The sequence below is a fragment of the Homo sapiens genome, chromosome 4 (assembly GCF_000001405.40).
Source record: "Homo sapiens chromosome 4, GRCh38.p14 Primary Assembly".
NCBI classification, from domain to species: Eukaryota; Metazoa; Chordata; class Mammalia; order Primates; family Hominidae; genus Homo; species Homo sapiens.
The window spans coordinates 183777958-183793738 of NC_000004.12; positions in this window are offsets into that span (position 1 = coordinate 183777958).

Below are 15781 nucleotides of genomic sequence, written 5' to 3' on the forward strand. Positions count from 1 at the left end.
GTTCCTCAGTTCTCTCTCTGTGGTCCTATTAGTGACAACGGCAGACAGGCTGTCTCCAGCACAAATGGAGAACTACCTGCCACATGTCCAGACACTCAACAGTTTTAGTGCAAACCAACCGTTACAATATGTTCTGCAAACATACTTTATCTTAATTTTGTTTTTTATCAGTTTTATTGAGGTATAATCTACAGAGCATAACATACATCTCTTTTAAGTATACACTTCAAAGAATTTTAGCATATTTACAGAGTTGTACAATTATTACCATGATCTAATTTCAGAACATTTCCATGACCCTACAAAGAAACCTCTTGCTCATTAGCAGTCATTCCCAATTTTCACCCCCAGCTGTAGGCAACCACTCACCTGTTCTCTGTTTCTACAGATTTGCCTTTTCTGGACATTTCATATAAATAGGATGATAAAATCTGTGGTCACTTGTGTCTGGCTTGCTTCACTGAGCATTAGGTTCTTCCAGTTTTTAGTGTGTTTTAGCCCTTCATTCTTCTTGATTGTCAAATAGTATTCCATTGTGTGCATAAACATCTTGTTTTCCATTTATCAGTTCATGGACACATAGATTGTTTCCACTTTTTGGCTACTGTGAATAGAGCTTTTTTTTTTTTTTTTTCTTTGAAACAGAGTCTCACTCTGTCCCCCAGGCTGGAGTACAGTGGCCCAATCTCCGCTCACTGCAACCTCCGCCTCCTGGGTTCAAATGATTCTCCTACCTCAGCCTCCCAAGTAGATGGGATTACAGGCATGTGCCACTAGACTTGGCTAATTTTTTTTATTTTTTTAGTAGAGACAGGGTTTCACCATGTTGGCCAGGCTGGTCTCTAACTCAGGTGATCTGCCCGCCTCGGCCTCCCAAAATGCTGGGATTGCAGGAGTGAGCCACCACACCCTGCCAAACATTGTTTACGAGTCTTTGCATGGACATATGTTTTCATTTCATTTCCTTTCTTTTGGGTAGATAGCTATTGATACAAGCGGAATTGCTGGATCACATATGAAGTCTGTGTTTCACCTTTTGAGAAACTACTAAACTGTTCCAGAGTGGCTGTACCATCCTCCATTTCCACAAACAATGTCGGAGGGTTTCCGTTTCTCCACATCCTTGCCAACACTTATTATCGTTTGCCTTTTTAAAAAATTGTAACTGTTCTACTAGGTAAAAAATGGTATCTCATTGTGATTTTGTCAGTATGCGTTTCCTTAGTGACGAATGATGGTGAGCATCTTTTCATGCGCATTTTGGCCACGTGTATATCTTGGGGAAAATGTTTACTTAAATCTTTTGCATTTTTTTAAATTAAAAATTTTATTGAGGTAATTGTAAACCCATGCAGGTGTAAGAAATAATTCAGAGAGATCCCTTGCCCAATTTCTTCCAATGATGACATACTATATCATATCACAGCCAAGATACTAACAATGAAACAATCTACCAGGCTTACTCTTGATTCTCCTGTTTCACTTGTACTCTTTTGTGTGTGTGTGCACATATGTGTATTTAGTTCTGTGCATTTTTTTTTTTGAGACAGAGTCTCCCTCTGTCACCCAGGTTACAGTGCAGTGGCGTCATCTCGGCTCACTGCAACCTCCGCCTCCCGGGTTCAAGGGATTCTCCTGCCTCAGCCTCCTGAGTAGAGACACCACCGTGCCCGGCTAATTTTCGTATTTTTAGTAGAGACGGGGTTTCACCGTGTTGGCCATGGTTGGCCAGGCTGGTGTTGAACTCCTGACCTCAGGTGGTCTGCCCCGCATTGGCCTCCCAGAGTGCTGGGATTACAGGCGCTAGCTACTATGCCCGGCTGAGTTCTGTGCATTTTTTATCACTGATAAAGGTATGTGTATCTGTTACCACAAGATGCAGAACAGGTTTGTCTCCATAAGGGTCCCTCCTGTTGACTTTTATAACCATACCATCTACCTGCCCCACTTGGCTCCACTCCATTACACCTCCTCCCACTCCACTGCTCCTAACCTTAGGCAACCACAAGTCTGCTTTCCATTTCTATAATTTTGTCATTTCGAGAATGTCATATAAATGGAATCATGAAGTATGTAATCTGAGATTGGTTTTTTTTCTGTTAGCATAATTCCCTGGAAATTCATCCAAGATGTTCATGTATCAATACTCCATATCTTTTGATTGCTGAGTATTTCATGGTAGAATGTTCTACAGTTTATTTAACCATTCACCCACTGAAGGGTATCTGAGTTGGAAGGACATCTGAACTGTTTCCAGGTTTTGACAATTGTGCATGAAGCTTCTATGAACAGTCATATGCAGGTTTTTGTGTGAACAGAAGTTTTATTTCTCTGAGATAAATGCCCAAGAGTGCAACTGTTCAGTCATATAGTAATTGCATGTTTAGTTTCATAAGAAATTGTCAAACTTTCTCAGAGTGGCTTTACCATTTTAAGTTTCCTCCAGCAATGTATGAGTGATCGATTTCTCTGCACCCTTGCCAGCATTTGATGCTGTCACTATTTTTTATTAGTCATTTGCATAGACGTATAATGATACAATAGCTTTTTGTGATTTGAATTTGCATTTCCTTGATGGCTATGATATTGAACTTCTTTTCATGTGCTTGTTTGGTATCTGTGTCTCCTCTTCAATGAAATGTCTGTTTTGGCTTATGCCAATTTTCTAATTGAGCTACATTTTTTTTTTTTTTTTTTTTTTTTTGAGAGGGAGTCTCACTCTGTCACCCAGGCTGGAGTGCAGTGGTGCGATCTTGGCTCGCTGGAACCTCTGCCTCCCATGTTCAAGAGATTCTTGTGCCTCAGCCTCCCGAGTAGCTGGGACTACAGGTGCACACACCACCACGACCGGCTGATTTTTGCATTTTTAGTAGAGACGGGGTTTCAGTATGTTGCCCAGGCTGATATTTAACTCCTGAGCTCAAGCGATCTGCTTGCCTCAGCCTCCCAAATTGCTGAGATTACAGGTGTGAGCCACTGTGCCAAGCCATAATGGAGCTACTTATCTTTTAACCATTGAGTTTTAAGAGTTCTTGATATAATCTGGATGCAAGTTTTTTAAATCACATACATGATTTGCAAATATCTTCTCCCAATATTTGAGTGTATTTTTACTTTCTTGATGGTGTCTTTTGACATACAAAAGCTTTTAATTTTGATTAAGTCTAAGTTACCATTTTTCTCCTCTTGCATGTGTTTCTGGTATTATATCTAAGAAATCATTGCCTAACCCAAGAGCATGAAGATTTACTCCTATTCCTTCTTCTATGATTTTTAGTTTCAGCTCTCACATTTAGGTCTGTGATAAATTTTGAGTTAACTTTTGTGTATGGTGTAAGGTGCTTTTGCTTATAAATATCCAATTTTCCCAGTACTATTTGTTAAAAATACCTTCTTTCTCCTTACATTTTGTTGGCACCTTTATTGCAAATCAGTTGACCATAAGTGGAAGCACCTATTTCTGGGCTCTCAGTTTTTTTTTTTTTAAACCATTGATCGATGCGTCTGGTACCACACTGTCTTCATCCCTGTAGTCTATCTTTTTATTTTAACAAATATACTGCTATGATCTTCTGTAAATGCAGATTCTAATTTACAATTTTTTGATTCCTTGGAGTTCTGCCTTAGAATATTCAGAGGCAGCCCCATGCTTCCAGCCTGCCTGGGCCTTTCTCCTTCTCTTCCAACTCCCAGCTCTGTCTCATTGTGTTAGGAGCCTCCTGTGCACATGTTAGGCACCCTAACCCTCAGTCACAGGATGACAGTTTTATTTCTTTTCTGTTTTTTGTTGTTGTTGTTTGTTTTTGTTTTTGTTTTTGAGATGGAGTCTTGCTCTGTTGCCAAGGCTGGAGTGCAATGGCGTGATCTTGGCTCACTGCAACCTCCACCTCCCGGGATCAAGCGATTCTCCTGCCTCAGCCCCCTGAGTAGTTGGGATTGCAGGCGCCCGCCACCAAGCCCGGCTAATTTTTGTATTTTTAGTAGAGATGGGGTTTCACCATGTTGGCCAGACTGGTCTCGAACCCCTGACCTCAGGTGATCTGCCCAACCTCAGCCTCTCGAAGTGCTGGGATTACAGGCATGAGTCACTGTGCCCAGACAGCTTTATTTCTTTAAATACTTGTCAGCTGGGACTATCCTTATGCTCCTAGAGGCCTTCCTCTGATTCTTGCAGAAGGACTTTTATGTTTTGGAGTCAGCAAAAAATGCATTAGATCCTTGTCACCCTTGAAATCTGTCCAGCTTCCCCTCCTGCCACATCTCTCTTCTGCCTTCAGCTAGAAGAAGACTCTGCTTGTGAAGACTCATGTGGTTATATCGGGTCCGCCCAGATAATTCAGGATAATCTCCCTATTTTAAGGTCAATTGATTAGTAACATTAATTACATCTTCAAAGCCCCTTTTTCCCGGGCACAGTGGCTCACACCTGTAATCCCAGCACCATGGGAGATTGAGGCAGGTGGATCACTTGAGGTCAGGAGTTTCAGACCAGCCTGGCCAACATGATGAAACCCTGTATCTACTAAAAGCACAAAAATTAGCTGGGCGTTGTGGCAGGCGCCTGTAATCCCAGCTACTTGGGAGGCTGAGGCAAGAGAATCGCTTGAACCCGGAAGGTGGAGGTTGCCGTGAGCTGAGATCGAGCCACTGCACTCCAGACTGGGTGACAAAGTGAGAGTCCATCTTAAAAAATAAAATAAAATAAAATAAAAAAGGTCCTTTTTTTCCCATGTAATAGACCATATTCACAGGTTCCAGAGATTAGGGCATGGACATTTGTGGAGGGCCATTATTCAGCTTGCCACACTAGACCTAGAATTATTAAATTAGTGCTGTGATTTTGATCTTCTGAAAGCACTTTGAGTTCACCTTCATTTTAGGAGATTATTGTCACTGGCTGTGAGTTCTAGCTTTTAAAAAGATATTCCATTGTCTTCTAGCTCCATCATTTCTACCAAAAAGCAGACAAAATGTCTTACTGTTACGCCTTTGAAGGTAATGTTTCCCCCCACGCTCTATCCCCACCCAACTACTTTAAGATCTTCTTTTCATTTTTGGTTTTCAACAGCTTTATCTTGATGTGTGTATGTGTGATTTTTTTGTGTGCAGAGCTTCTTACATCTGTGAGATAATGTTACATATCAGTTTTGGAAAATTCTGCTTGGTTATTTGGTTATCTCTTCAAATATTTATTCTGCCCCATTCTCAAAGAGCTTTAATTATTCCTGTGTATTACACAGTTCCAATATATACCAGGGGTTTCTGTGCTTTTTTTTCATTGTTGTTTTCCTTTGTGTTTTAAAATCTGAATATTTCCTACTGACCTGTGTGTCAGTTCACCAGCCCTTTCTTATACTGTGCATTGTCTAGTCTTGAACCCACCTGCTGAGTCCTAATTACAGACATTGTACTTTCCATTTTACAGTTTCATTTAATTTTCCTCTTTAGGTTTTGGTTTTTCTGGTAATAATCTCTACTGTTTGTTTTCCTCTATTTTTCTTGAACATATGTTAGTTATTTTAGAGTCTCTGCTCTGAGTCTGCGTCTGGTATATATTTCATTCCCTCAGGGACTCAACAGACTCCATATAGTCCTTTTCCCTGGTAGGCCTTGTAATTTTTAACTGAATTCTGGACATTGTCTATAAAATATTGGAGAGGGCTGGGCACGGTGACTCATGCCTGCAATCCCAGCACTTTCGGAGGCCGAGGCTGGTGGATCACCAGAGGTCAAGAGTTTGAGACCAGCCTGGCCAACATGGTGAAACCTCGTCTTTACTAAACCTCGTCTTTACTAAAAATACAAAATTTAGCTGGGTGCGGTGGCGGGTGCCTGTAATCCCAGCTACTCAGGAGGCTGAGGCAGGAGAATCGCTTGAACCCGGGAGGCAGAGGTTGCGGTGAGCCGAGATCGCGCCACTGCACTCCAGCCTGGGTGACAGAGTGAGACTCTGTCTCAAACAAAACAAAACAAAACAAAACAAAACTGGAGAGGCCCAGTTGATGCTACTTTCCTCCAGGGAAACGTTACCCCTCCCCTTGCTAAGCAGCTAGAGTCGGGGGGGTACTGAGCTTTTGCTTTTGCTCAGTAAGGGACTGAGCAGACGCTACTCTGGGTTGCAGTCTTGGCATAGCTCTCTTTGGTTCACCTCTCTTCTTACGCTAATGAGTTCTGGGCTTTCAACTGAGGACCTGATGTGTACACTGGGGTTCCTGTCCCTGGCAGGTCATGAACTCTAATCTTTGTCTTATCATTACTCTGAGGCTGCCAAAAGCTTGGCTCTAGTTTTCAGCTGAGTTATTTATTTCCGTATCCTTTCCAGCTGTCTTGAAGAGAAAACAGTCCATGTTTGAGGCCCTTCAATTGTGTCACTCCAGCTGCATAAAAGTGCCAAAAAGTCTACTGGTTTCTCCGCCCATCAGAAGCAGCGCTTTACTCAGGCAAAGCCTGGGCTTTCAGCCTCTTGCTCATACTTAGGATTAAGCAATTTCCTTTGGGAAAAGTGGCTGCAGAAGGTTGGATCATTACTTCATGGCTCTTCTCTCTGAAAGTTTATTACCCTTTTTCCTTGTTGCTTTAGAAACTATGTGATGTCTGTAAGCAGATCATGCTTATGTTTAATCTAGCTTTTCTAGTTGTTCCTGGAAGAATCACTGGTCTTACATAAGCAACTCTACCCTACCCAGAAACATAAGGCCAGTGAGTGCTAGAGGTGTTATTTCTGATATATATCATTTTTATGTGGGTGTAATGAGAAATTTTTAGAGTATATAGTGTGCTTTACTGTCAGAAATGAACGCCTTCCATTTCCACTTTTTTCTTGGTAATGAGTATGTTTTCTGTTAAAACATAGTGTTTTTTTTTTAAACTATGTATATATTTTATTCCGATGTGAAGTACAATTTTAGACATGGAGTGCTTATCCAATTCCTTTTCCAATTATATTTATACCTTTCAAAATATTTAAACAGGATAAATAGGATAAATTAAAAATGATGAGGCTGGGTGCAGTGGCTCACACCTGTAATCCCAGCACTTTGGGAAGCTGAAGTGGGCAGATGACTTGAGGTCAGGAGTTCGAGACTAGCCTGGCCAACATGGTGAAACCCCGTCTCTACTAAAAATACAAAAATTAGCCAGGTGTGAGGTAGTGTGCCTATAATCCCAGCTACTCGAGAGGCTGAGGCAGGAGAATCACTTGAACCCAAGAGGCGGAGTTTGCAGTGAACTGAGATTCTGGCACTGCACTCCAGCCTGGGTGACTGAGCAAGACTCTGTCTCAAAAAAAAAAAAAAAAAAAAAGCGATGAGCTGAGAAGACACCAAGATTTGCAATAACTGTTACAGATGGTAGACAAGTCTTAATTAACAAGACAATCTCCATCAATAATATAAAAAAGTGAACAAATTACAAATAAAACTACTTCAAATATATTTTGAAAAAGTAGACATCTGTATTTTTCCATCTGGAATACACAGGATCTAGTCTTCTAGATAAATGTCTAATAACTTCATCTTGGATCATCAGGAAAAATCAATTACATATAATATTTTTCTAAACTCTATGGTCAGTCACATCTAAAATCATTAAGTGTAAAACAGCATATGAATCTAATTACATTTATAACTGAATGCCCAGTATAGATGATTTTGAAGTTCTACTTTTTTTTTGAGACGGAGTCTCACTCTGTCACCCAGGCTGGAGTGCAGTGGCGCAATCTCGGCTCACTGCAAGCTTCACCTCCTGAGTTCACGCCATTCTCCGGCCCCAGCCTCCTGAGTAGCTGGGACTACAGGTGCCCACCACCACGCTCGGCTAATTTTTTTGTATTTTTAGTAGAGACAGGGTTTCACCGTATTAGCCAGGATGGTCTCGATCTCCTGACCTCGTGATCCGCCTGCCTCGGCCTCCCAAAGTGTTGGGATGACAGGCGTGAGCCACTGCACCCGGCCCTGAAGTTCTACTTTTTAATAACTAGAACATGTAGGCCAGCCGCAGTGGCTCAAGCCTGTCATCCCCGCACTTTGGGGGGCCAAGGCGGGCAGATCACTTGAGGTCCGGAGTTCAAGACCAGCCTGGCTAACATGGTAAAATCCTGTCTTTACTAAAAGTACAAAAATTAGTCAGGTGTGGTGGCACACGCCTATAATTCCAGCTACTCAGGAAGCAGGGACAGGAGAATTGCTTGAACTTGGGAGGTGGAGGTTACAGTCAGCCGAGATTGTGCCACTGCATTCCGGCTTGGGCAACAGAGCGAGACTCTGTCTCAAAAAAAAAAAACAAAAACACAGAACTTGTATTAAGTCATTATTCTTTCTCTTATGAGTGACTGTGTTTCTGCCTTTTTAAATGTTTTGATACCTGCATGTTTCAGATAGCAGTTATCTGATTAGCCATAGCATTTTCCTAAAACTGCCTATTTTTAGCTCTGGTCCTTTTTTTTTTTTTTTTCCTCTTTTCCTTTTGGAAACCTGCCATCTACAGAGATCTCAGAGGAGGGAGAGCCTGTTCACTCGCGAATATGTATTTCGGGCAAGATGGCGGGTTCCTGGCAGGTTATAATTTCCACTGCTGGAGACCTCAGACACTGAGTATTCACTTCCTTTTTTGAGGGAGACAAAATCAAGGGTAGAACTTGGCAATTACATTAAAAAAAATCAACAGATAACGAACCGCTGCTATTCCAGTAAGCAGACAAACATGTCTAAAAATTATGTTTATTTTACCATGTACCTTTGTTACTAATATCAGCTATTGTTATTTCACATGAAGTAGCAAGAAGGTGTATCTATGTCCATCTAAATACTTATGAAAATAATGACAGTATAGTGTGTGTTGTAGCAGCAGTTTGTCATGTTGTTTTTTTCTCACCACAGCCCTCATGGAGGATGTCATTTATGTGAAAGACACAGACGTGAAAGACACAGGCTCATGAGGGTACGGTGAAACACACAAATCCTGGCAGGGTAGTTGTAAAAGTCCACCCCTTCTGTTCTTACTTAATAAAGCCTAGCAATATGCAAAAGAATGAGAGTAAAATTATTACTGGAGAAACTTTGACTCTACTCTACCTTTAAAATAAATAAAAAGAAATCCATCCCAAACTGACACTCTAGTGTTAATAACCATTTTCTTATGACATACTTCCCAATGATAGAGACTCAGCAGTGGATCAAGATCTTTAGATTGGAAAGAGCTATACATAATGCATCAATACCATACCACAAGTACTCATCTCCCAAGTGTTAGCCCAATATCACCCACTGCAAGCTGTCCTCTCATTCCCAATTCCCTTTTACAATGAGCCACTCCTTCCATTGACGCCCCTCTCTCCTTTCTGCTGCTCTGCAGCATGTACATGTTTCTACCATTCCACCAATTAGTGTAACTTCATTTTGGGGGGATGACTTGTCTGTTTCTTTTTACAAACTACAAGCTCCCTCCAAACAAGGGCCATGTCACATCTATTTCTCTTTGTCCAGCAGTCAGCTCACTGCCTAGAATACAAGAGTTGTCTGATATGATTGTTGACGAATGGGAGCAATATTTAGTAGCTTCGAATCACTCAGTGTTAAAGCCTGAGACGTGCACGCTCATGATATGGATATCCAATACTGTCAACATTTCATAATTTGGTTTGGCTGGTGGAATTTTTGTTCAAATAAAAATGAATTTAGCATGAAATTTGGGTTGGGTTTACACTAACAAGCAGGTAAAGAGTCAAATGTTCTAATGGGGAAAGTATTATGCTAGATTGGTCTCCACTCTTAATTGCTGCTGTCGCAGGTACAGGAATGGAACATAAGCAAACCTCTAATAGAAACTGAAGACAAAGAGATATATGTTTTGCACACTGCTCTTTGAAATTTGGTTTTGAAGTGGGATGAGCTTCTGCCATTGTAGTTGAAATGCCAGGGCCAGTGCTGTGTAAGTAGAGAGGGGTCATGGCTGGGGGAATTGTCAACAGAGGCATTATTCAGAAGCATCTCAAAAGCCAGTTGCAGTTCAATGTTAGGCCATAGGCGCTTTCACTGATAGTGGTACTATTAAACTTCCTACCAGAAAAGATGAATCCTTTTGGGAAAATTTAGTGAGGAATCAGAATAGATAGAGAAGCTTCTAGGAGCATTTTGAGCCACTTTGAGAAAGTGTCTCAGGCAGTCAAAAAGTCTTCCCCGTAGGGTAGATCAGTACAGGATCTTCACTAAGGTAAGTGTCTCTGGTAGGCTGTGGGAAGAAGTGATGTATGGGATGTGCCTTGGCAGTGTTTTCAATATCATATTCATTCTCAACCACAAGAGATAGCCAATATCCTCAAAGTAAGTGATTCGCACGTGTGTGGCTACAATAACTAGACCATCACGAACTCTTTAAAAAACAGTGGAAGGGGGTCTCACAGTATAGCTGTTGAGAGCACAAACTCTGAAACCAGACTGCCTGGGCTTGAACTGTGGCTTGGTGACTGTCTTAGTCCATTCAGTGTTGCTATAACAGAATACCTGAGACTGAGTCATTCATAAAGGGGAGAGTTTTATTTAGCTCATGGTTCTGCAGTCTGGGAAGTCCAAGGGTGCAGCCTGGCTTCTGGCGAGGGCTTTCACTCTGCATCATGACTTGACAGAGAAGGTCAAAGGGGAAGCAGATACATGGGAAGACCCAACAGGAGGAGGAACCTCACTTTGTAACAGCTGATCTCATGGGAATGAATTCATTCCTGAGAGAACTAATCCCATCTTGCTGGAGAAAGAATTCACTCACTACCACGAGAATGAAACCAAGCCATTCATGAGAAATCTGCCCCCATGACCCAAACACCTCCCACTAGGCCCCACCTCCCAATACCACCACATTTCAACATGGCTTTTGGTGAGGACAAAAAACAAATCCAAACCACAGCAGTGACTTAACAGTGGAGGTCCTGCACATGTTGCTTAATTCTCTTTGAATCAATTTTCGTCTGTAAAATTAGGATGACAAGAGTATCTATCCCATAGGGCTGCTGTGTGGATTAAATAAGTGAATATACATAAAGTACTTAGCACACTGCATGACATATAGGAAGCACCATATAAATGCTAGCTATTTTTATTATTTATCTGGGATAAGCAGTAGCAGACACGTAATTGAAGGTTCAACAGTTGATGGATTCCTGCTTGTAGGTAAACATGTAGTCGTAAGCATGAAAAAAAATCACTAATACTGCATAAGAGTTATGACACAATTAAGTTTGGGTTATTATTGAAAGAATCCTTTAGAAGGCCTGTAATTAGAATAAATGATCACCCCCATGGCTATAGAAGTTCTGTGGAAATTCTGGCTTCCTACTACAGTAAGGTTTTTATTCTTATTTTTTTTGAGACAGGGTTCCATCCTGTCACTCAGCTGAAGTGCAGTGGCATGATCATAGCTCACTGTGGCCTCAACCTCCCAGGCTCAAGTGATCCTGCCTCAACCTTCTGAGTAGCTGGGACTACAGGTGTGTGCCACCATGCCTGACTCATTTTTTCTTTCTTAATGTAGAGACAGGGTCTCATCATGTTGCCCAGGCTGATCTCAAATTCCCGGGCTCAGGTAACCCTCCCACCTTGGCCTCCCAACATGCTGGGATTACAGGCTTGAGCCAGGTTTTTATTTTTTTAATTTTATCTTTTTTTATAGATGGGGGTCTTGCTATGTTGCCCAGGCTGGATTTGAACTCCTGGGCTCAAGCAATCATCCTGCTTTAGCCTCTGAGTAGCTGGGATTACAGGCATGTGCCACTGTACCTGACAACAGTAAGGTTTTTTTGTGCAGACACTGTTGTTTCTGACATGTAACCAATCGCTGCCTGGAATTATGTACTCATGAGTCTAACAGAATACTTGAGACTGAGTCATTTATAAAGAGGAGAGGCTTATTTAGCTCATGGTTCTGCGGTCTGGGAAGTCCAAGGGCATAACCTGGCTTCTGACGAGGGCTTTCACACTGCATCATGACACAGCAGAGAAGGTAATCTATCTACAATACTGTGCTATCAAAATAATATAGAAGGACATTCTTTTTTCTTTATAAAAGCTGACTCTCCATAGATGCATAATCAGCATGTCATTAAAATATTATTTTCTGCCTGGATTCTTATAAATTGTAGTTCTACATGTAGCATGCATATATTATAAGAACAATGGTGTTACAATTATCTATTTCTATGTAATCAATCACCCCAAAACATGGTGATGTAAAAAGGCCACCATTTTATTACGCTCACAATTCTGTGGATCAGGAATTCAGGCAGGGCAAAGTGGGATGGCTCACCTTTGCTACAAAGTTGGAAGTTTCAGCTGGGGTGGCTTGGATGGCCAGATATGTCTGGGACAGCTCAACTGGGGCCATCAGTCTGGGGCCTCAGCTCTTCCATAGTTGGTGTCTTCTGTGGCTGGAACGTCTCCTTCACTCATGTGTCTGGCTCCTGGGTTGGGATGGCAAGAGCAGCTGGGGATTGGCCATCAGCACTCTGTCTGCACACCTTCTCCATGTGACTAGCTTGAGCTTCTTCACAATATGATGAATACAGGGTAGTAGCACTTGTTACATGGTGGCTGGCTTCCATGAGGCAGGACTGGGAACGATGAGACCTTAGGTCTACAGACAGAACTCATGCAGTATCCCTTCAGTTCTATTCTATTGGCTAAAGAAATCACGGTGCCTGCCCAGAGTGAAGCGAGTGGAGAGACGGTTTCTACTTCTTGACGGAAGTGTGGCAATATCATATCATAGATATGCATGTGAACAGGAGGTATTGTGGCAGAGATCTGTAGAAAACAGTAGCTGCCACAAACAGAAATTCCAAACTGGAGGCACTTAGGCAGGAATGCACCTCCCTGACTGATGATTGTCTGGGCTTCTGTTATAGCACAGTGGACAATCAGCAATTGATAAACTTGGCCAAGAGCAAGTTTACAAGGCCGTCTTTCCCCAGCAAGAATGGCAGGCAGTTGACTGCAGGCAGTGGGGAGAAGTGCTGACAAAGAATTTCATTCACCATGCTCTTTAATCCTGCCCCAAATCCCACTCATCTTGAACTTCAGGATTGAGACAACCGAGGCAAAAGTTTTCCCCAGAGAGTTTGAGATGGCTTTGAGGATTTCTTATGTGATTAGATATTCAAGCAGTTCTTCATAGTTTTTCCTGAATGTTTTCAAGTAAATTGGTGCATGCATTTCTTGGGACTAAAGTAACACTGGTTTATCATGTTGGTTCTTACATTCCTGTGGAAGCTGCAGTGGATGGTGACGAAGCATGGGTCTGAATTCATAGATCTAGTTTAAATCTTGGCTTTATTCATTGTGCGACCTTGGGCAAATTACTTAACATCTGAGAACCTCAGTTCCTTCTTGGAAACTTAGAATAATAATTGTTCCTTCTTACTAATTTTATAAGAATGAGGCATTATATATATTTGTATACCCATATATATATAACATGTCTCATTGTTTTTATTTATATATTTTATACATAATATGTAAATATATAAAAATACGTAAATATATATATTTATATATATAAAATGCCTCATTCTTACAAAATCAGTAAGAAGGAACAATTATTATTCTAATGTTTCATATATCTATGGGATCACTGTAGTCTTGGCAAGTTGGGCTACTTCTCATCCTTTGGGCTGGAGTACATGTCCACCTTTTCTGTGAGGGCTTCCCTCAACATCCTATCTAAGGTAGGTCCTCCCTGTTTCTGTCTGTCCCTTCACCTGTTTGACATGCTATAACTACACTCAAGGTCATTCCTTTATGTGGTGATTGCTCCCCTTAAACCCATTATGTTTTCTTGACTGGTTTTTATCTTGTTTTTCTAAATTTGAAGGAATGCTCATTCATCACAGAGCCTGTCCTAGCTCCTGGCTACTGCTGCAGCGGGAGATAGGGGCAAAGAGAGAAGAGACTGGGGATGGTATAGGTGGGGCAGGGAGGGGAAAGAGAGGGAAAGGCTGAGAAAGAAACAGAAGTTATATTCAGAGGCACATTTTGGTGAACTGACATGGAGGAAACAATTGAGTCCATGAATGGAAGATACTGTGAGACAACTGGGAGTTGAGGATTATTGAAAATGAAAATTTGGGCCAGGTGTGGTGGCTCATGCCTGTAATCCCTGCACTTTGGGAGGCCGAGGCAGGGGGTCGCAAGGTCAGGAGATCATCACCAGCCTGGTCAATATGGTGAAATCCCGCCTCTATTAAAAATACAAAAATTAGCTGTGCGTGGTGGTGCTTGCCTGTAATCCCAGCTACTCAGGAGGCTGAGGCATAAGAATCACTTGAACTCAGGAGGGGGAGGTTGCAGTGAGTCAAGATCATGCCACTGCACTCCAGCCTGGGTGACAGAGTGAGACTCCATCTCAAAAAAAAGAGAATGAAAATTCACTGTGTCACTTATCTGAAAAATATGATTGCCATTAAGACTATCTTCTGAAAAAAAAAAAAACACAATAATATGACCACACATGAAAAGTTCTTAGCACATTGCTTGCCGTATAGTAAGTAATCATTAATTGGTAATGATGATGTTAATGAGGTTGATAGTAATGCAAATGATGACAGCAGTAAGAACCAATAAAGAATCTTCTTTTCTTAGTCCCATTGAGTTCTGATGGTAGATCCTCTAAGATAGCCCCTCCTGTTGGGAAGATCAATAGTTTTTGTGATTGCGTGGGTGCCAAGAGCTTGCTATCTCTATGTGAGGGAGATCATTTCTATTAGAAGTTGCTCTTTTTATTTGTCACTTTATTGTAATTGTCTTAATAATTAAACATTTTCATGGTTCATTATAAATGTGCCTGGAGCTTCTAAGATGACCCCTAATGATCTCTATGTCCTGGAATTCATACGTTTGTATAAATCCCTCCCCTTGAGTGTGAGCTTGGCTTTAGTGACTCACTTCTAGAAAACAGAATGCAGCAGAGGTGATGGCATGTTATTTCTCTCTTGAGTGATCTAAGGGAAGCCATCTGGCACGTTGTGAGCTACCCTGTGGAAAGGTTCAAGTTGCAAGAAAAACAGTGGGCTTCCATGAAGTGAGGAATAAGAGCCTCAGTCCAGCAACCTTCAAGAAACTGAATCCTGTCAATAATCATGTGAATGAGCTTGGAAATGGGTCCATACCCAGTTGAACCTTCAGATGAGACAGCAGCCCTAACTTGACTGTAGCTTCCTGAGATGCCTTGAGCCACAGACACTGTATTAGTTGGTTCTTACACTGCTATAAAGAAATATCTGAGACTGGGTGGTTTATAAAGAAAAGAGACTTAATTGGCTCATGGTTCTGTAGGCTGTACAGGATCATGGTGTCATCAGCTTTAGAGGAGGCCTCAGGGAACTTACAATTATGGCAGAAAGCAAAGTGGGAACAGGCATCTTACATGGCAAGAGCAGGACCAAGAAAGAGATAGGGGAAGCACTACACACTTTTAAATAACCAGATCCTGTGAGAACTCACTCACAAGAACAGTGCCCAAGGATGGTGCTAAACCATTCACGAGGGACCCACCCCCATGATGCAATCACCTCTCTCCAGGCCCCACCTCCAACACTGGGGAATACAATTGAACATGAGATTTTGGTGGGGACACAGATCCAAACCATTCAGGCACTCAGTGGGGTTATGCCTGGATTACTGACCTGCAGAAACTGTGAGATTAAAAATGTTTGTTGTTTGAAGCTGCTAAGTTTTGGAATAATTTGTTATGCTGCAATAGATGACTAATACAAATGTCAAGTATCATTTATGCAAGAGGC